At 39.4% G+C, this 21,788-nt stretch overlaps 1 protein-coding gene across 16 annotated transcripts in view; it reads left to right on the top strand.

Moving 5' to 3' along the window:
• IKZF3 (IKAROS family zinc finger 3) overlaps positions 1 to 21,788 on the top strand; it is a 106,598-nt gene that overhangs the window by 40,776 nt on the left and 44,034 nt on the right. The window contains exon 1 of one of the 16 annotated variants that reach the window (XM_047435625.1): positions 4,029 to 4,197. The exons of the other annotated variants lie outside the window; for them this stretch is intronic. Coding sequence (XP_047291581.1) covers positions 4,134 to 4,197 — 64 coding nt within the window. The 5' untranslated portion in view covers positions 4,029 to 4,133. Of the gene's footprint in view, positions 1 to 4,028; positions 4,198 to 21,788 lie in introns of those variants that run through there. 16 annotated transcript variants of the gene reach the window in all.

Below are 21,788 nucleotides of genomic sequence, written 5' to 3'. Positions count from 1 at the left end.
TGATATGCCTTGGAGCCATTTTCCCCATTGTCTTTGTAATTAACATTAGGCACCTCATTACTTATGCAAATTTATGCAGCTGGTTTGAATTTCTCCTCAAAATGGGTTTTTCTTTTCTATCACATTGTCAGGCTGCAAATTTTCCAAACTTTTATGCCCTGCTTCCTCTTGAACGCTTTGCTGCTTAGAAATTTCTTCCACCAGATACCTTAAATCATCTCTCTCAAGTTCAAAGTTCCATAGATCTCTAGGGCAGGGGCAAAATACTGCCAGTCTCTTTGCTGAAGCATAGCAAAAGTTACCTTTGCTCCAGTTCCCAAGCAGTTCCTCATCTCCATCTGAGACCACCTCAGCCTGGACTTCATTGTCCATATCACTGTCAGCATTTTGGTCGAAACCATTCAACAAGTCTCTAGGAAGTTCCAAGCTTTCCCACATCTTCCTGTCTTCTGAACCCTCCAAGTCTCTAGGAAGTTCCAAACTTTCCCACATTTTTCTGTCTTCTTCTGAGCCCTCCAAACTGTTCCAACCTCTGTCTTTTACCCAGTTCCAAAGTTGCTTCCACATTTTTGGGTATCTTTATAGCAGCACCCCACTCTCTGTGGTGCCAATATACTGAATTAGTCCACTCTCACACTGCTATGAAGAAATACCCAGCTGGGCACGGTGGCTCATGCCTATAATCCCAGCACTTTGGGAGGCTGAGGCAGGCAGATCATGAGGTCAGGAGATCGAGACCATCTTGGCTAACATGGTGAAACCCTGTCTCTACTAAAAATACAAAAAATTAGCTGGGCGTGGTGGTGGGCACCTGTAGTTCCAGCTACTCAGGAGGCTGAGGCAGGAGAATGGTGTGAATCCAGGAGGCGGAGCTTGCAGTGAGCCAAGATCGCGCCACTGCACTCCAGGCTGGGCAACAGAGCAAGACTCCATCTCAAAAAAAAAAAAAAAAAAGAAAGAAATACCCAAGACTGGGTAATTTATAAAGAAGAAAAGAAGTTTAATTGACTCACAGTTCTGCATGGCTGGGGAGGCCTCAGGAAACTTACAATCATGGCAGAAAGTACCTCTTCACAGGGTGGCAGAAGAGAGAGTGAGTGCCAGAGGGGAAATATCGGATACTCATTAAACCATCAGATCTTGTGAGAACTCACTCACTGTCACGAGAACAGCATGGGGGAAACCACCTCCATGATTCATTTACCTCCCACTGGGTCCCTCCTATGACATGGGATTATGGGGCTTACAATTCAAGATGAGATTTGGGTGGGGACACAGCCAAACCATATCACCTGGGTAATGGGCATATTCAATGTGTGAATCTTGATTATCACAAAGCCAGTTCCACATGGCTTGCATATGAAGCATATCAGCTGCTTCATCTGGGGTATTCCAGTTGGCATTGAAAGGGGAAGTCAGATAGTTCCCTTTCTCAGGGTAAATAGACCTTATAATGGCTCTTATCTGGTCCACCAGGTCAGCTGTTCCCTTAGGAATGACCTGCTCTGTGTCTGGATCATGTGTAGCCATCTGTGATTGTTCCATAGTGAGCTGTGGATCCTATATAAACCCAAACATGCTCTTCCACTCTGAAGCATTTAAAAGCCAAGATACTGCCCCTAAATTATTTATTCTTACAATTCATTTTAGTCAAAATTCTTTAGGAAGCTGATGGTACTGATCTACAAAATAAAGTAACTCTTTCACACTATACCCCCTGGTTTCAGTAGTTTCTTGGTTTTGCCCTCCCCTACCTGGACTCTCTTTTTGGTGACCAGAGATCTTAGAGGTATTTTCTGTTTTTCCCACATATTTTTTCCATTAGAGGCAGCTTTGGGTCTAGCATCCGAAGTTCAGGCCCACCAGAATCTGAGCGTGGTTCAGCATCAAGGTCCAACCCAACACTCTTTTTAACTTTCATTTTAGCTGTTGCAGATAACAATAACCATTGGATTGTGTATTTCACTTTTTTCTTATTAGTTTGCATTTCCTTAAGCATTCAGTGAACCAGCTCCCCAGGAGTTGGGTTCATCTTTAAATTTCACTGGTAACTTTTACCTTTAGTAACTGATCACAGCCCCTTTGCTGCTCCTTAGGTGACTATATGGCCACTCAGGAATCAAAATTTCCTCATCCCCTACCCTTTTATTTTATCCTTCCAAACCATATGTTTCTGTGAGCCTGGGCTGATCTAGCAAATCCCACTCCAATTCTGGGGTGTTTTCCATCCACAACCAAATCTCTAGGCCATTCCGTTGTTGGGTGTCCAACAATTCAATTCAATTCTGATACTAACTCTGAGAATTAGTACAGACCACACAGGTTAAGGGCTCAGTCCCACAGACCGCCCCTACTTCAGACACCAGTCTCAAGTACCAGGCCCTCAGGTGACCCACACTTCTTCCAACTTGGGCAAATTTGAGTGTTCCCACATCCTTCCTCAGGTTTAGTAATTTTCTGGAATGACCCACAGAGCTCAAAAAGTTTCTTTACTTATCATTACCAGTTTATTATAAAAGATACAACTCAGGAACAGCCAAATGGAAGGGAGGCATAGAGCAAGGAAGGGGTGACGTGGAGCTTCCATACTTTCTCTGGGCATGCCACACCCCCAGCTCCTGAAGCTCTCTGAATCTTGTTGTTCAAGAACGTTTATAGGACTCAATCTCCAGCTCCCTTTCCTCTCTCTTCTTCCCTGAGGTCACTGGGTGGGGCTGAAAGGTCCAACGCTCTAATTACCAGGTCCTTCTGGTGAACAGCTCCATCCTGAGGCTGTCTAGTGGCCCCAGCCTCAGCTACCTCGTTAGCATAATCTAAGGTGCTATTGAAAGGGGCTCGTTATGAATACAAAAGACACTCCTGCCCCTGCTACTTAGAAGCTGAGGCAGGAGGATCTAGTGAGAAAAACAAAACAAAACAAAACAAAGCAAAACAATACTCCTATCACTTAGGAAATTCCAAGGGCTTAGAAGTTCTGTGCTTGATCCTGGGAGCAGGAACAAAGACCAAATATGTTTTTGTATTATACCACAGTTTGGAAAGTTCATTGAAATAGAAAGAAAAAAGAAAACCCCACCTCTATCCTACCACCCAAAGATAGTCTCTAATAGCATTACAGAGTACTTACTTCCAGGCTTTTTTGTGAGTTTTGAGCATTATATTCACATTAATATTGCTCACATTTTATAGTGATATTTATGTTGATAAATCTAATCACTTTTGCTTTATGAATGTTACTCTGTTACTCAGATCTCATCTTAAATGTCATTTCTTCAGAAAAGCTTTTCCTGACAATTCAGTCACTATTTTAACACAGCCCTGTTTTAATTCATCGCATGACACTGAACACAGATAACTTTGGAGTTTTGTTTAGTGTCTACTCTCCTTCCAGCCTTCTTGGGCTATTTTTTTCCTTGCTAGATATTTACAGTACCTAGAACAGTACCTGGCCCTACTGTGGTAGGTGTGCAATAAATATTTGTTGAGTAAGTGACTAAATGAAAGCCCTAGGTCAGTTATATGTGTGTATACATGAGTTTCTTAAAGGAAGAAAAGAAAATAGGCTGGGTGCAGTGGCTTGGCTCACGCCTGTAATCCCAATACTTTGAGAGGCCAAGGTGGGCGGATTTTTCTGGAGGTCAGGAGTTCGAGACCAGCCTGGGCAACATGGTAAAACCCCATCTCTACAAAAAAAAAATTTTTTTTTAATTAGCTTTGTGTGTGCCTGTAGTCCCAGCTACTTGGGAGGCTGAGGTGGGAGGATCACTTGAGCCCAGGAGGCAGAGGTTGCAGTGAGCCAAGATTGCACCACTGCACTCCAGCCTGGACAATAGAGTGAGACTCCTTTTCAAGAAAAGAAAATCATTTCTCAGAGTCTTTTTCTTTTGTCTTAAATTTCTTAAGAGACCAAGAAATTGAGTTATTTGTCTAAAACTTCTGAGATTCAAATCACAGCTTCAACTAACATTCCAGCTGTACTGAGCTATACATTAATTTGTACCAGTTTTTAACCACAGAGACAGAAAAATGCTGCCTGGCACAGGATGTGGTCATTTGTGCTGAGGAAAGGCATATGATGTTGTATCAGCTTCGTGCAACTTCTTGAAGGTGACATCCATGGAGTCTCACTCAGAATGAGGCAAATGATAGCTGTGCCTGTGGCTTGTTTTTTTTCTGAGTTACAGTTTCTGAGTTCTGGTAGGTAATACCATTAAATTTGTAGTTGAAATAGTGATCCCTATGCCACTGTTGGTTTGGGAATTTATAATTTATGTTATAAATTTACTTTGGGTTCAGGGGTAGCCTATGAGTTTTATATTTTCAGATAGTTTGTGGTAAAAAAAACAGATTAAATACTCAAACATAAACAAGAAACCAATAATTTCCATTCAACAATAGGAATTTAAAATAAATATTGTAAAAACCCAAGTGGTGAAGCACCTTGTTAGGAACCCATACAATAGTATCGCCTTACCTCCAACTACATGTCAATGGGTTAATAGGATGTTTGTGTAAATAAATTATTTTTCTCAGTTGCTAGGGGTCTAGGAGTGTCATGCAGTTCTTGATAGAGAAGATATGATCAATCACTCTAAATAATTTGGGAAAGAGAAAAGAAACAGTTATTTACTTTAAGCTTCATTCAGAAAGAAATGAATACGCTAATTTTGTTGTTGTTTTGTTTTTGTTGTTGCTCTGTTGCCCAGGCTGGAGTGCGGTGGTGCGAGCTCAGCTCACTGCAAACTCCGCCTCCTAATTTCAAGTGATTCTCGTGCCTCAGCCTCCTGAGTAGCTGGGACTACAGGCATGTGCCATCATGCCTGGCTAATTTTTATATTTTTAGGAGAGACGGGGTTTTACCATCTCTACTAGATGGCCAGACTGGTCTCAAACTCCTGACCTCAAGTGATCTGCCCACCTCAGCCTCCCGAAGTGCTAGGATTACACCACTCCTGGCCTGAGTAGGCTAATTTTAACGTTGAAAGATCATTCCATTATTTTGTGATTAATCTGCAAACAGATTATAGTAGTCCCCCTTCTCTGCGGTTTCACTTTCTGCAGTTTCAGTTCCATGGTCAACCATGATCCCAAAATAGGTGAGTTCAGTACAATAAAATATTTTGAGAGAGAGTCAACAATTATGTACCTTTTATTATAGTATAGTGTTGTAATTGTTCTATTTTATTGTTATTGTTACTAATTTCTTACTATGCCAGATTTATAAATTAAAACTTTATCATAGGTATGTATGTATAGGAAAAAACGTAGTATTCAGTCATATACCACATAATGTTTGGGTCAATGATGAACTGCAAAAACAGTGGTGGTCTCATAAGTTAAGACCTATTTTTACTGTATCTTTTCTAAGTTTAGATATACAAATACTTACCATTGTGTTACAGTTGCCTACAGTATTCAGTACAGTAACATGCTGTACCCATAACATGCTGTACAGTCTAAGAGCAATAGGCTGTACCATATACCCGAGGTTTGTAGTAGGCCATACTGTCTAGGTTTGTATAAATACAGTGTGCTCTATAATGTTTGCATAATGATGAAATCACCTGATGATCCACTGCTTAGAATGCATCCCATCATTAAGGAGCATGTGACTGTATATAGGGTTTGGTACCATCTGCAATTTCAGACATCCGCTGGAGGTCTTGGAAAGTATCCTCTGTGAATAAGGGGGGACTACTCTACTGTACTATTAACACTGGCACTTAATCTGGGTCATATATGTTTGGAAAAGGTGGTTACCAGGACCCTGCTTTTATAAAATATATAATATGATCAGTATGTATAAATTATACATGCTAAATTATAAAAGTAATAGAATGTAAAAACAGCATTGCCCGATAGAAGTTATACCTACTGCATAATAAGGTACCACTGCCATATGCAGCACAGGAAAACATTTAAGACTAGAGTTAGGCCCGGTACTGTGACACAAGACTGTAGTCCCAGCTACTCAAGAGGCTGAGGCAGGAGGATCACTTGAGCCCAGGCGTTTGAAGCTGTTGTGCATCATGATTACACCTATGAATAGCCAGTGCACTCCAGCCTGGGCAATATAGCAAGACTCCATCTATAAAAAAAGAAGACTAGAATTAGAATTATACTTTTAAAGGTAATTAGGGGAATTTAGCTACAATGTAATAATTATTTTAAAATGTTAGAGAATTCTATTCTGTTTAAGTTTAATGGCAGCATTTATTTTTTAATGTCATTTGAAAGATTTTAGGAACCAAAGACTTGTCTGGAGTGTTTAAAATTCAGAATAATTGCAATCATGTTTAATGTATATGTTAAAAAATGAAATATCGTGTGCATCTTTATAAGCTTCCAGTTCTTAGAAAATTGTTTTGTAGAAAATTTCACACCCTGATGGAAACACTCACTTTATTTTTTCTCTTGCGGAAAGACAGACTAATTTCTAGGGGAAAAGGCTTTACCCAACTAGAGTAAGTTTGGAAAACAAAACAAAAATACTTGGAAAAAACTTTAAAAAACTATTAATATTGGCCAGGCATGGTGGCTCAGGCCTGTAATCCCAGCACTTTGGGAGGCCCAGGCAGGCAGATCGCCTGAGGTTAGGAGTTCAAGGCCAGCCTGGCCAACATGGTGAAACCCCGTCTCTACTAAAAATACAAAAATTAGCTGGGCGTGGTGGCGCATGCCTGTAATCCCAGCTACTCGGGAGGCTGAGGTGGGAGAATCTTCTGAGCCTGGGAGGCAGAGGTTCCAGCAATGAGCTGAGATCGTGCTCAAGCCTGGGCGACGGAGTGAGACTCTGTCTCAAAAAAACAAAAACAAAACAAACAAAAGTATTAACTTTGAACATAAATACGCTTGCTTGTGATCCCACAGACATTGTGGTAATTTTTTACAGTATATTCCCAGGAGCCTAGTGCAGGTATTGGCAAACTTTTTCTGTAAAGGACCAGATAGTAAATATCTTAGGCTTTGTGGGCTATACAATCTCTGTTGCATCTTCTCAACTCTGCCATTGCAAGGTAAGACAACTGTAGAAGATACATAAATGAATGTGAGTGGCTTTGTACCAATAAAACTTTATTTACAAAAATAGGCAGTGGGTTGGATTTGACCTGCAGGCCATAATTCCCTTACTCCTAACCTAGTGTATACATTTATTGTATGATGAGTTAAGAAAAGATTTGGCACTTGAAAGGAACAGTGTTTGTGTAACCATTTCAAAAGGGCATCAGTGAGGATTCTAATACTATTATTTTAAAAATCAGAAAAATATATATCACTAACAGCTTTTTATCACATGCATGTATAGTTGATATAGCTCTATTTACATAAATTAATTAGACATAAATAAAACCATATGTAGACTAAATGTTGTGTTACCATTTAGTTGGTTTTCTCCTTTATTCCTGAAAATTTAAATCTAACAAGCACTGGCAAATATTTACATCAACTCAAGTTTATTTCCTCCAGGAGGCCTTTTTATACTATCCCACCTTCCACAGTGTGGTCTCAGAGCTGAATTTTTAAGAGTATGTTTAGTTAGTACTTATTTAAACACGTAATTATATTCTGTTCGAAATTGTTTGTGCATGACAAGGTTTCACCCCATTATATCATAAACTTTTTGAAAAAAGAAGCCCTAACCTATATTTACATCTTTCTAAGAATACTTACCTATGAAGTGATATAATCCAACCAGTTTGGAAAGCAGAAGAAATGAAGAAATTCAGAGTTCTTTTTCTAGCCTGCTCATTCACTCTTATGAACAATTATTATTTCTCTTCCTCTTAGTGACCAACTGTAACTATCTTCAGACTGATCTTGAGCCATAGGAAATAACCCAGAGATCCCCAAGTCTTTATTTTTGTTTAGCATCCAATGAGTGCTGGGAATATCACAGCCACTTTACTGAATACAAAAGATTTGGGACCTTCTACTTGGATCTAAAATGTCAGCAAGATACTGTGATGTCAAAAGCAAGAGTTAAAACAATTTTATAAAATATCATGAGAAAGAATATTATTGTTGCTTATATCTTGGCCTATGATCACAGAGCAACTAAAAAATAAAAACCTCTGAGTATCAAGGCTAGAGGGAAGATGTGTTTCATGCTAGTGTACTGAGGGATATTAACTAGGTAGAGATAAGACTCGAGATGGTGGAATGTCATCCCAGCAAGGCAATTGTCATGCACAAACAATTTCAGAGAGAATGTAATTAGGTGCTTAAATTAGTGGAAAAGACATGGCCTTAAGGCCTGAACGACTGAAATAGAACTCTTGCGACTTTTTGTTTCAGTCCTTCTTCCTCTGAAATTGGATTCCCGTCTTTGCCATTTCCCACTTAGAAAATAGAAGGAAAGGTTCTGTCATGAGCATGTATATGTTATGAGGGTATGATGCATTTGCCGATAGTATTTTTTCCTCTTTGAATAGCTGAGGAATAAAAGTTGGGCTACTGACCCCCTGTATTTAACACTCTACTGGCCCCCTATTTTTCAGCAGCCCCCATCATCCACTATCTCTATTTACACAAGCCATTTGTTCTGGAGCTGCTGTAGGGGTAAAAAGTACACACGATACCTCGATACCCATCAACACTAGCTGTTTACCCTGCCTGAGTTGCACATTTACCCTCTGTCTTAGTTTTCCAGGGCTTCCATAATAAATTACCACAAACTGGGTGACAAAACACCAGTTTGTCACAAAGCAACAGAAATTTTTTACTATTCTGGAGGGTAGAAGTTCAAAATTAAGATGTCAGCAGGACCATGGGAAGGGCCTAGGGAAGAGTTCTTTTTTGCCTCTTTCTGGCTTCTGGTGACTTCCAGCAATGCCTGGTGTTCCTTGGTCATGGCAGCATAACTCTAATCTCTGCCTCCATTGTCACGTGGGCTTCATCTCTGTGGGCATCTCCTGTTTCTGTCCTCCTCTAGGGAGACTAGTCATTGGATTTAGGGCCTACCCTAATCCAGTGTGACCTCATCTTAACTAATTACATCTACTATGACGATATTTCCAAATAAAGTCACATTCTGAGGTTCCAGGAGGACATGAATTTAGGAGGGACACTATTCAACACAGTACACCCTTCATCTCCTGGCTCTGTAACTAAATATCAAATAGACCCAATACCCATCATGAAATAGATTTCTTTTTTAATTAATTGTGCAGTGGTGATCAATCGGTGTATGTATTTAATTACTTCCATTCTGTACAAGCTATGGGTCTTGCCTGATTCCAAGAGAAAAGTTGAATTTGATCACTTTTGAAAGGCCTTATATTTTCTCCATTGTGACATCTTGTGCAGTGTAGATGCTTAGATCAAAGATAAGAACTTTAATTAGAAAGCTTGCTGAAAAAAATAATTCTTCTTCCCCTTAGGAGAAATAACTCCCATCTTCAGTAGCTTCCCATGGCATAGTCTCGGTCCCTTTTGAGGTGTACAACTCTTTGGTGCTTAGAAGAAGTACAAACTACTTTGATGCTTCTGAAAGGGGAAAAAAAATTAAGCCACATGTGTGGTTTATGGATGCTAATTACCGCCACATTTAGATGTGTGAAGAAGGGTGGCTGGAGCGAGCTGGGAGAGACCGCGTCAGCCTCGCTTAGGCACTCGCTGAGGCTCCCGCGGTACTGCTTAGTACACGCAAATATATGCTTCAAAAGGAAGTGCCGTTTTTTATCAAAATATTACATCTCTCAAGCCCAGATCAAGACCTGTCACTCATGGGATGCAGGGGTTATCTTACAAAATCAGCAGTGCTGTGCTGCAGAAGTTCACTCACAGGGGATTTCTGTAAGTGCTTACCATGGGCAGAGCTTTACAGCTTGTACTGTGTCAAACGGGTAAGTTCTGTTGATGATAAAACCAAGACATCTCTCCCTGAATCTTTTTTTTTTTTTAATCACGCTGTCACCCAGGCTGGAGTGCAGTGGCACGATCTCGGCTCACTGCAGCCCCAACCTCCCAGGCTCAAGTGATCCTCCCACCCGAGACTCCAGAGTAGCTGTGACTACAGTTGCATGCCACCATGCATGGCTAATTTTTTTTTTTCTGTAGATACGGGGTCTCGCTATGTTGCCCAGGCTAGTCTCAAACTTTTGGACTCAATCAATCCTCCTGCCTTGGCTTCCCAAAGTGCTGGGATTACAGGTGTGAGCCACTGTGCCTGGCCCTTGAAACTTTTTAACAGAAAACATCTCTGGATTTTCTTTTCTTCTTTTTTTTTTTTTTCATAACTAAGCTGCGTAGCACAGCAAACTAAAAGGAATGTGTAGGAAGATATTTGACATCTGCCAAAGAGCCACAGACAGTTGCAATGGTTAACAGAAAAATGGGGCTGCCCACTGTCCTTAGTGGATCCTCTGGAGAGTTTTCTCCCTTCTTTTTGCATTCTTTTTATTTATTTATTTATTTATTTATTTATTTATTTTTTGAGATGGAGTCTTGCCCTGTCGCCCAGGCTGGAGTGCAGTGGTGCGAACTGGGCTCCCTGCAAGCTCCACCTCCCGGGTTCACGCCATTCTTCCACCTCAGCCTCTAAAGTAGCTGGGACTACAGGCGCCCGCCACCACACCCGGCTAATTTTATTTTTGTATTTTTAGTAGACACGGGGTTTCACCGTGTTAGCCAAGATGGTCTTGATCTCCTGACCTCGTGATTTGCCCACCTCGGCCTCCCAAAGTTCTGGGATTACAGGCGTGAGCCACTTCGCCCTGCCTCTTTTTGCATTCTTTGTCTGTTAAGCAGTAGTGTTGGTGCCTCCTTCCAGCTGGATTAAGAGAACGCATGAAACACCCTTATGTGCCTGCTAACTTTCATAGCAGCTTTTCTTGCCAAGTGAGTTCTGCTTCTCAAATAAACTTTGGCACCAGGCACGGTGACCCGAGCCATTGTGTACCTTGGTGCCATTTGATAGCTAGAGGAAGGTACCCTGCTGAGGGATAAATGAGGAGTCCCAGTGGTGTGCCAGAATCAGCTCATAGCTGCTTGTTAAATTTTCAACAATTTTGTATGCTGGCTGACTCCATGATGGTAGCTTGAAATTGGCCATGGTGGAGTATTTATACCACTGAAATCAGCAAATGCCACAAATAAGCCCTTCCCCGATCCTGAGCTGGTTGTTAAGCAATTACCAGAACACCACTGGACTGAAGACTGAACAAAATCCTGTCCTGGCTCATCAGAACTATCAAATTTTTTGTAATTTGTCAGCCCAAAGGGATTTTGGGTTTTGGGTGTTCTGTTTTGTTTTTGTTTTTGTGTTGTAGTTTGCATGAAAGAGAATAGTGTCGGAGACAAGAAGAGTACATGAGCTCTCTCCACAACATAGTAGATGGGATCCCGAAATTTTATCTTGTAAAATATGGGGGTCATATTATTGCAAGTAAATGAAATATAGTAGGTGGTTTTGTGTTTTGTTTTGTTTTTAATATACTGTTACAAAAAGCACAAAGCAATGACAGTGAAGTTTAAACTGGACACAATTGTAAACCTTAAAAGACCCAAATGATCTTGAAGCAATTACTTCCTATCCATTCCCATAAGAACTTTAGCTTGCTCTTGTCTGAGAAGTGGGCAAGGGTAGACAACTGGAGGCAATCAGCAATCCTTTTACATCCAAATTTGTACACATTGTATTGTGGCAGGGTGTTATTGTACTTGATTGTGTCCCAAAGACATGGCAAGAACAGTCTTTTATAGTTGTGTTCTTTTGTGCCAAAGTTCTGGGAATATAGTAAATGCTCAGTGTTTATCCATTTTTCTTTCTGCCTTTCCATCCAACCATCCATTCATCCATTTATCCCCTGCAGTGTTCACAAGTGCTCACTAAATAATTATTGGTTCATTAACTAAAGTGAAGAACAGCATGTGAGTACATTTTGGCATTGGGGTCTTTTATTTTAGTAGTGTTCTTGAAATGCTGGGAAAACTTTCCAAGGATTGCATGGGATAATTTTAAGAGAATCAATTTCCAGGTCCGCAACTTCAGTATATTCTCTGCCCTTCTTCCTAAAACTGATCTGCCTAGAAGACTGCTGCCATTGAGCTTGCTTGCTTTTTCTTTTCTTTCTTCCTTTCTTTCTTTCTTCCTTCCTTCCTTTCCTTCCTTCCTTTTCTTCCTTCCTTTCTTCCTTCCGTCCTTTCTTCCTTCCTTCCTTCCTTCTTTCTTTCCCTTTCTGTCTTTCTTTCCCTTTCTTTCTTTCTTTCTTTCTTTCCTTCTCTCTTTCTCTTTCTCTTTTTTTATTTCCTCCCTTTCTCCCTCTTTTTCTTTCTCTCCCTCTCTTTCTTTCTTTCTTTCAGACAGGGTCTTGCTCTGCTGTCCAGGCTGGAGTGCAGTGGTGTAATCACAGTTCACTGTAGCCTTGACCTCGTGGGCTCAAGCAATACTTCCACCTCAACCTCCTGAGTAACTAGGTCTACAGGCACCCACCACCATGCCCTGCTAATTTTTTAACTTTTTGTAGAGGGGTCTCACTGTGTTGCCCAGGCTGGTCTTGAACTCCTAGACTCAAGTGATCTTCTCGCCTTGGTCTCCCAAATTGCTGAGATTACAGGCATAAGCCACCATGCCCAGCCTTCCTTCTCCACTTTATAAAAGAAAAGAACATTTCTCACCCACCTCTAAGGTGTAAGTACTTCCAAGATGCCAAACAAAGGATCAATTAGATAATTTCTTTTATCAAATTTTCATAACTTATTTCCTCTCTATCCTTCTCATTAGGAGATACAGTCCCAATAAATTTTACTTTTTGTATTTGGTAATTATTGATCAAATTATAATATACCTATATTGTTTTACTCAATTGTATGTTAATAATTGTAATGCTAATTCAATCCAGAAGAAAACACATTTTGACACATAGCACTTCATGTTAACAAAAGTAACTATATTTTATTGGGTTTTTTTTTTTTTTTTTGCTGCAGATACATATAATGGGATGAACAATAGATGACTCAAGCATACAAGAGTACTACATTAGGAGAAAATTCCATGGGGGTAGTGAAATGGAAATAGAAGTTCAAAGAGAAATTTCCTGACTTTCTTGAAAAGCTTACTTATGTATTTTTAAATTCATGATGGAGTAAATTAAATCACAAATATGTATATATTCCTAAGTAGATACATTTGAAAGGGTGTGGTAATGGTTTAAACTATCATTATTTACAATACACAAACTGTATTCTTTTGTTTAAAAATAGTTAAACTCATGATGAAAAATTATAGATGTCAACTTAGTATGTACTTAATGTCCACTATGTATAAGAGAGATATATAATTTTTCAAAATTCTTTTGAGGATGCTTGAGCAAAAAATTTGAAAAATGCCAACCACTATTATATGAAGTTTACAAAATATAACACAGAGGTGTCTTTAAGCCTGAGCCTATTTAAAGGCCTGAGGCAGAGATTCTCAACCTGAGATCTCAGGGTTTGAGAAATCAATCAATAGTATGTGAAATTTCGTGTTTATGGGCATGTGTACCTTTTTCTGGGCAAAGAGTACAGTTCTCAAAGATGTTCACAACCTAAAAAAGATTAAAAAGATCTGACCAAAGCATGTAAAGTCTTAAGAAACTTGACTTTGCTGTTTTCATAATAGTTTCATATGCACTGGCATGTGGAATTGCTTCCAACATAAACAATTTTGGTTCAGTTGTTTGTATATAAAATAATACTAATTATGAAAAATAATGAAAGATTCAATCTCCCTTTCTTCATCATCATCCTGAAATCTATGTCAATCTTTTAATTTTATTCCTTGCTTATTCAGAGGCCTTTTCTTTTCTTAATTTTGATGGAGAAAATTACAGGTGCTTCATCCATAGAAAAATGCTGAATGGAAATGTGGAAAACAGTTTTTAAAAGAATAGACATCATCTGCCCCTGACAGTTGTGTCTTGCGGTTTCTTCCAGGATCTAATCAGCAGTCTAGCAATAGGTTGACATAGTATTCAGGCTTAGAATTAGGAAAATTACATTTGGAAGTGACTAATAACACAGTACTTTCAAAGCTTTGGATTTTAAAGCGTCACACACACAGCAGGTGAATGAAGATGTCAGAGCCAGGCCTAAAGGAGCACCCTGGTAATCCAGCCCTTGGTGTATAACCTTCAAACACCAATAAACAAGATTATCTGGGTTTAACATGTGACCTTTCTCATTTTGACTGGTAGGTCCAGATGTTTTCTCGTTTAGCTGCCTGGTTGAAATCTGCTTTAACTGACTGCATTTGGATCTAGATTTGAGGTTGCAGGAATGACAGTCTTGAAAACTACATTCTGCACTGGGTGATACTGTCTAAACAGTAACATATGGAGACCTATGGTTTAATAACTAAAAATAATTTGTGACCTTACCCTTAATAGATTTGCTAATTATGTCAACTGAATAAGTAAAAATGGGATCACGATAGATATTTCACTATATTCATCAGTCTGGTGGCATTAAAGACATTGACAAGATGTGTTAGAACCAGCCTTTTCTGCACCTGCGTCTACAGAAGCAAAAATCTCAGCCAGGGCCTTTGTTATCCTTTCTTACTCCTTAAGTAATTTCATAGCAGCCCTTGAGAAAATAGGAAAGGCTCTTTGTTAACTTCTGTTAAGTCAGCCTAGGCTGTGGTCATACCTCCCATCCACCGACATTTGAACAAACACTACTTAATGGTCCATTATTACTCTTTTCATTACTTGGAGCCCAGAACTCTCTCTTGCATTTTTATATGACCTATTCCTTACTTACCATCAGCTTGATTTTCCGGTTCTAGTCCTTCAGGTTGTACTAGTTCTCTCTCTCTCTCAGACTGTAAAGAAAAGATAATTCTTTATTTTCTTATTTTGTCTTACGAGAGAACTCACATTCCTGAATGAACCCTCAGTGAACTTCCCCAGGTGCATTTATATCACTGCTGCTTTGCAGTCCAGAGATAGTGCTCATTAACTAATTAATAACCACAGCCTAGTAAAACACACTAAATTATTAACAGAACAGAAAGTGAGACAGTATGGTCCATAAAAGCACAAAATATAACAAAGAAGTAATATATCCTTATGTATCTGGATCCTTATGAATTTTAGCCCAATTTAGAAAGAGCAAAAATCAGTAGTTAGGTATTTGTCTGAAATCGATAATAAAATAACTAAGTATGGGAAATGTCCAATCAGGCCAACTCTTTTATACTTGATTTTTTAACCTTCCTTTCCTACTGTCAAGTAGCGGGTGCCCTTGTGTTTTTCAACAAGCTAATTCTTGTTAATTTTGTTGAAAGGGAATGAAATCAGTTGTACAGGAACAAAAGGAGTTAAAAATAGTCTTCTGAGCATTTGTCATATGGAAGTAATCATAGCTCAGAAACTATACTTACCATGATGCTTCTTGTAATCATTGGTGAATGGGTAGCTAAACATTCCCATTTTGAGACAGAGTCAGTATCAGAGTCAGTATCAGAGCTATCAATTTTATTTTGTTTTGTTTATCTGTATAGATTTCTTTTTAAAACAGCTTTAATGTGGTTATAATTTACATACTTTAAATGTTCAATTCAATGACTTTTCTAGTAAATTTACAGAGCTGTACAACTACCACCATGTTTTAGAACATTTCCATCACCCTAAAAAACCCTTTGTACTTGTTTGTAGTTGATCCCCATTCTTGCCTGCAGCCTCAGGCAACCACTAATTATTTCTGTCTCTAAAGATTTACTGTTTCTGGGTATTTCATATAAATGGAATAATACCATATGTAATATTTTGTTTCTGGCTTCTTTTACTTAGCATAATGTTTTTGAAGTTCATCTATGTTGCTGCATGTATCAGTAGTTTGTTTCTTTTATTTCTTTTTTCTTAAAATTTTTGAGATGGGATCTCACTGTGTTGCCTAGGCTGGTCTCAAACTCCTGGGCTCAAGTGATCCTCCCACCTCAGCCGCCCGAGTAGCTGGAAACATATAGAGGCCCCGTCTCTACAAAAAAAAAAAAAAAAAAAAAAAAATTTAAATAGTCCCAGCTACTCAGGAGACTGAGGTGGGAGGATTGCTTGAGCCTAGGAGGTCGAGGCTGCCTAGTGAGCCATGATCATGCCGCTGCACTCCAGCCTGGGTGACAGTGAGACTCTGTCAAAAAAAAAAAAAAAAAGAATATCATTGTATTTATATAGTACATTTTGATTATCAATTCACTGTTTGGTGGACATTCAATTGTTTGCATTTTTTAGCTTCTATGAACATTTATGTACAAGTCTTTATGTGGACATAGGTTATCACTGCTTTTGAGCAGATACCTAGAATTGTTGGCTTGTATGGTAAATTTATGTTTAATTTTATAAGAAACTACCCCTATATTAGTTATTGATTGCTGTGTGACAAATGACCCCAAACCCTAGCAACTTAAAACATATTATCTCAGGAATACAGGCACAGCATATCTGGGTCCTCTGCTTCAGTCTCTCCCAAGGCTGCTAACAAGATACTGACCTGAACTGTGGTCTCATCTAAAGACTTGACTAGGGAAGGATCAGTTTCCAAGCTCACTCATGTGGTTGTTGTCAGGATTCAGTTCCTGAAGGCTGTTAGACTGAAGGCCTCGTTTCTTCACTGGAGGTTGGCCAGACACTGCCTTCAGCTCCTTGCTCTCCAGCTTACTTCATCTGAGAAGCTTGCAAGAAACACCACAGAGAGAAAGAGAGAGAGAGATGGAAGTCACAGTCTTTTATAACCTAAACACAGAAGAGACACCTTCCATCACTTTTCCATGTTTTTTTCATTAGAAGCAATCACCTAGGTCCAGCCCACACTGGAGGGGAATATTACACAAGGGTGTGAATGCTAGGAGCCGTTTTAGAAGGCTGCCCACCATACTGCCAAACTGTTTTCCAAAATGACTGTATCATTTTACACTCCCACCAGCAACGGATGAGGGTTCCATTTTCTTCACATCCTTGCCAGCGCTCTTTATTGTGTCTTTTTTATAGTAGCCATTCTAGCAGGTGTGAAGTGGAATCTCATTATGGTTTTAATTCACACTTCTCTAATGACTGAGGATGATGAGCATCTTTTCATTGGTCTGTTGTCCATTCATATAATTTCCTGGTGAAATGTTAATTCACATCTTTTGTGCGTTTTAAAAATTTTATTTATTACCTTAGAAAAGCTAAAGACTACTTTCGTGCATTTTAAAATTGGATTATTTGTCTTACTGAGTTGCAGGATATTTTCATTTATGAATCATGTTTTCAGTGCTGTATCTAAGAAATCTTTGCCTGTCTCAAGGTCATGAACATATTATGTGCCAGCTACTATGCTACGCCTATATATACATTATTTTGCTTAATTTCATTACTGTAACAGCCCTATTAGGTATAGATATTATCATTACTGCAACACAAATGAGAAAATTCACGGAAGTCAAATTACTTGCTGAGGTCACACAGCTAGTTAGTACAACTTGAACCTGGGTTCTGTCTTACTCCAAAGCCCATGCTCTTTTATCAGAAACTTAAAAAAAAAGAAGTCATTCAACTCTATTTTCAGTGGAAAAAAATAAGTTAAATACCATATTGTTCCTTCCCTGTAATTACCAATACCCATCCAATATTACTTGAATATTGTTAGTAGAAACCTCTCTGTGATCATTAGAAGCTGCTGTTTGAAATAGAAAGGACATAGATTGCAGTTTGTTGGCCAGATTCTATTCTAGTTTTATTCTGCCAGACAATATTCCCTCTGCAGTTTCCAGTAGAGCTAGGATGCATCTTTGCTTGCAGCCTTGAAGTATGTTACTGGGCAGCTGTTAAGCAGTTGTTACACTTTATCCCCAGGGATGAACATGTTCCAGTGACAAGATAGCTCATTCCCTTGTGTGCTTTTAATGTTGTACATTCACCCAGGAGAAGTCAGTGCTGAGTTTCTTCTATTATTTCTCAGTGCTCTAATTCCATTATTTGAGAACCAGGGAAGAAGGAAGGGAAGAACCAGAGATGGGTAAAAGTCTAAATAATATGTTACAGATGGTAAATGTTAATTTTTATTTTGTATTTTAATGTAATGCTAAAAAGAACAAGAGTCTTCTAATTCTTAATCCTTATACTCATTTCCTTCTCATCCAAGAATCCTTTATACGCTTTGGGTCTGATTGTTATACCTTGAGTTAGAAATAACAATTTATTTTTTCCCTCTGTCTTCGGCTAATATGCTAGCTTTAGGCAAAATTGCAATCTGTACAATTTTTAAAAACACTGTCAACCCTAATTTTGTACTTGAAGCAAATAATAGTATAGTTGTTCACGCTTTCCTTTCCTCCTTCTTATCTTCTTTCCTTCCTTACTTCCTTGTTTGTTTGGTAAGTAGTCACTGAGCTCTGTATCAGTGCTAAATGTTGATAGAAGCAGCATAATATACAGACGTTGACATCAAACAGCCACTATGTAGAGAGGACAACGGGGAATATTATAGGAAAAGCGGAGAAGAAATGGGAGAGATAAGGAGCTTGTTTGCAACTTGTTGAGTGTGAGATAAGTGTTGGAAATTCAGGAAGTGATTGTACATGTCAGGAAGTATATGTCTATGGCTTTCCAGGTCTACCGGAAATAAAAATTTGAGAGTCAACAGCAATAAAAACTTGGATCAGGAGACAGAGTATGTAAAGTGAAAAGGCAAAAGTTTCAAGAAATAGGCCCTAGGAAATAATTCACATCTAGGAGATAGAGAAAGAGGAATAAACAGAGGATATAAGTAAATAAGTGAGGTAGGAGTAGGACCAGCAAAGAATAAGCCAAGGAAAGAGATTTAAAAAGCAGGGACTGGCCAGTGGCATCCTATTGCAAAATGGTGGAGCAGGAAGGGCAGAAGCCAGACCACAATGGGCAAAGAAGTCAACTAGATGACTGGCTATCACTGTGGGCCATGGACCTTATTCTGATGCATTAAGAGAAACTACATACTGCATGACAGCATCAGAATCTTGTAGACAAGTTAGGGGTCTATTGTGATCTACTACTTCTTCTCTGCCTGGCCTAGTTATCATCACTAAATTGGTTCAGGCTGCCCAAGAAGTTCATTCATTCATTCATTCAATTTCTTTTTTTTTTTTTTTTGAGACAGAGTCTCGCTCTCACCCAGGCTGGAGTGCAGTGGAGCTATCTTGGCTCACTGCAACCTCTGCCTCCTGGGTTCAAGCGATTCTCTTGCCTCAGCCTCCTGAGTAGCTGGGATTACAGGCGCGTGCCACTATGCCCAGCTAATGTTTTGTATTTTTAGTAGAGACAGGGATTCACCATGTCAGCCAGGCTGGTCTCGAACTGCTGGCCTCAAATAATCTGCCCGCCTTGGCCTCCCAAAGTGCTGGAGTGTTGGGATTACAGGCATGAGCCACCACACCCGGCCCATTCATTCAATTTCTAAAGTAACGAGGCCCTTGTTAGGTTCTGGGGACACAAATATTATTTAAACCTGGTCCCCACCTTGAAAATACTCCTAGTCTATATGGGAGATAAATACACTAATTGTGATATAACACAAAACATGCTATATACACCAAGAACTACTTATGCTCTGGATATAGAAGACTTTTTCATTCCTTCCTTTACCTGTGACCCTGAGTTTGGTATTGTGACAGTCAGAATGTTTTTTAGCCAATTGTATTTGGATGACAGTTTTTGAATTTTACTAAGAATTGTATTTTAACATGCTTTAAACTTTTTCATTCCTGTTTTTAAAAAAGATAGAGTGGCTGGGCGCGGTGGCTCACGCCTGTAATCCTAGCACTTTGGGAGGCCGAGGTGGGCGGATCATCTGAGGTCCAGAGTTCGAGACCAGCCTGACCAACATGGAGAAACCCTGCCTCTACTAAAAATGCAAAATTAGCAGGGCATGGTGGTACATGCCTGTAATCCCAGCTACTCCGGAGGCTGAGGCAGGAGAATGGCTTGAACCCGGGAGGTGGAGGTTGCTGTGAGCCGAGATCGCGCCATTGCACTCCAGCCTGGGCAACAAGAGCGAAACTCTGTCTCAAAAAAAAAAAAAAAAGATAGAGTGAATATTCTATGCAAGGGAATTTTGAATGAAAAAGGAAGTTTTTTTTCTTTCGGATTTACAAATGAAGTTTCTACCAGGTAACTACTTTAGTCTATGCTTGTTTAGGCAACATCTAAAACTTCAGCCTCTTTAAATGTATTTCATCCATTGTTTTTTGATGGGTAGCAGTTATTTCTCAAAAATATAAATACAAAAGAGTTTAATACATAGATGAAAATAATCAATAGAAAAAGTAATTGTTATAATGGGCAGAAATGAAACAATATACTTGTAGACTCTTTATAGTTTAGAAAGACCTTTCATACATCATGGCCTTCAGTCCTCACAATTCTAGATAAAGAATTATACCTGGCCCCATGACATTTGAAGAGCTTAGCCCAGCTGAGCAGCTGGAACCTTACCTACTGCTGATGTATAGTGTATTTCTGTTGTAAAAGTAGTAAATCTCCTCTTCTTCTAATGGGGAAGCAAAGAATTGCACTGAAATTATTAAGCAAAATTATTTTTATTATTATGCCCATGAATGAGCTATTTGATAGTCAGATAAGGCAAAAATTAATGTTATTAGTAAAATTGAGGGTAGTTCCTTTGCAAATGAAACTTTTTACATGCTAATGCTCTTGTGTTTGAAGTGATGTGATTTACTGATGGCCAGTTTAGATTCTTTTTTTTTTTTTTTTTTGAGACAGGTCTCATTCTGTTGCCCAGGCTGGCTGGAGTACAGTGGCATGATCACAGCTCACTGCAGCCTGGACCTCTCCAGGCTCAGGTGATCCTCCCTTCTCAGCCTCTTGAGTAGTTGGGACTACAGGCATGCTGTATTCCCAGCTATTCCCAGGTATTCTACCATACCTGGCTATTTTCTCATGACTTTAATTTTTTTTCTTTTTTTTTTTTTTGAGACAGGGTCTCGCTCTGTCTCCCAGGCTAGAGTGCAATGGCATGAACACAGCTCACTGCAGCCTTGACCTCCTGAGTTCAAGGGAATCTCCTGCCTTAGCCTCCTATGTAGCTGGGACAACAGGCACACACTACCACATCCGGCTAATTTTTTGATTTTTTGTAGAGACAGGGTCTTACTTTGTTGCCTAGGCTGGTCTCAAACTTCTGGGCCCAAGCGATCCTCCCACCTCTGCCTCCTGAAGTGCTGGAGTTACAGATGTAAGCTATTGCACCTGGCCAAAAATGTATTTCAATGAGAACTTAAATCTATAGAATTTTATCCAAACCTGTATTGAGATATCAGTATTTCATCTCTCTTTTTTTTTTTTTTTTTTTTTTTTTGAGATGGAGTCTCACTCTGTCACCCAGGCTGGAGTGCAGTGGTGCGATCTTGGCTCACTGCAAGCTCCGCCTCCCGGGTTCACAGCATTCTCCTGCCTCAGCCTCCCGAGTAGCTGGGACTACAGGTGCCCGTCACCATGCCCGGCTAATTTTTTATATTTTTAGTAGAGACAGGGTTTCACCATGTCTTGATGGTCTTGATCTCCTGATCTCGTGATCCGCCTGCCTCAGCCTCCCAAAGTGCTGGGATTACAGGCGTGAACCACTGCGCCCTGCCAGTATTTCATCTCTTGTTAGCCTGATTTACCTTTTCCAGTTTTTTCCTAATTTAAAAATAGGCATTTTCAAAATTAACAGACGTCCATTATTTTAAATTTTAAAAGAGAAAAAAAGAAAACATAATAGATTTTATAAATCAATGACCAAAAGTTTAGTTTGCATTGAAGCTTTATAATTTTACTGGTTAGCAAATA

The sequence above is a fragment of the Homo sapiens genome, chromosome 17 (genome assembly GCF_000001405.40).
Source record: "Homo sapiens chromosome 17, GRCh38.p14 Primary Assembly".
NCBI classification, from domain to species: domain Eukaryota; kingdom Metazoa; phylum Chordata; class Mammalia; order Primates; family Hominidae; genus Homo; species Homo sapiens.
This window is presented reverse-complemented; position numbering and strand designations above follow the sequence as displayed.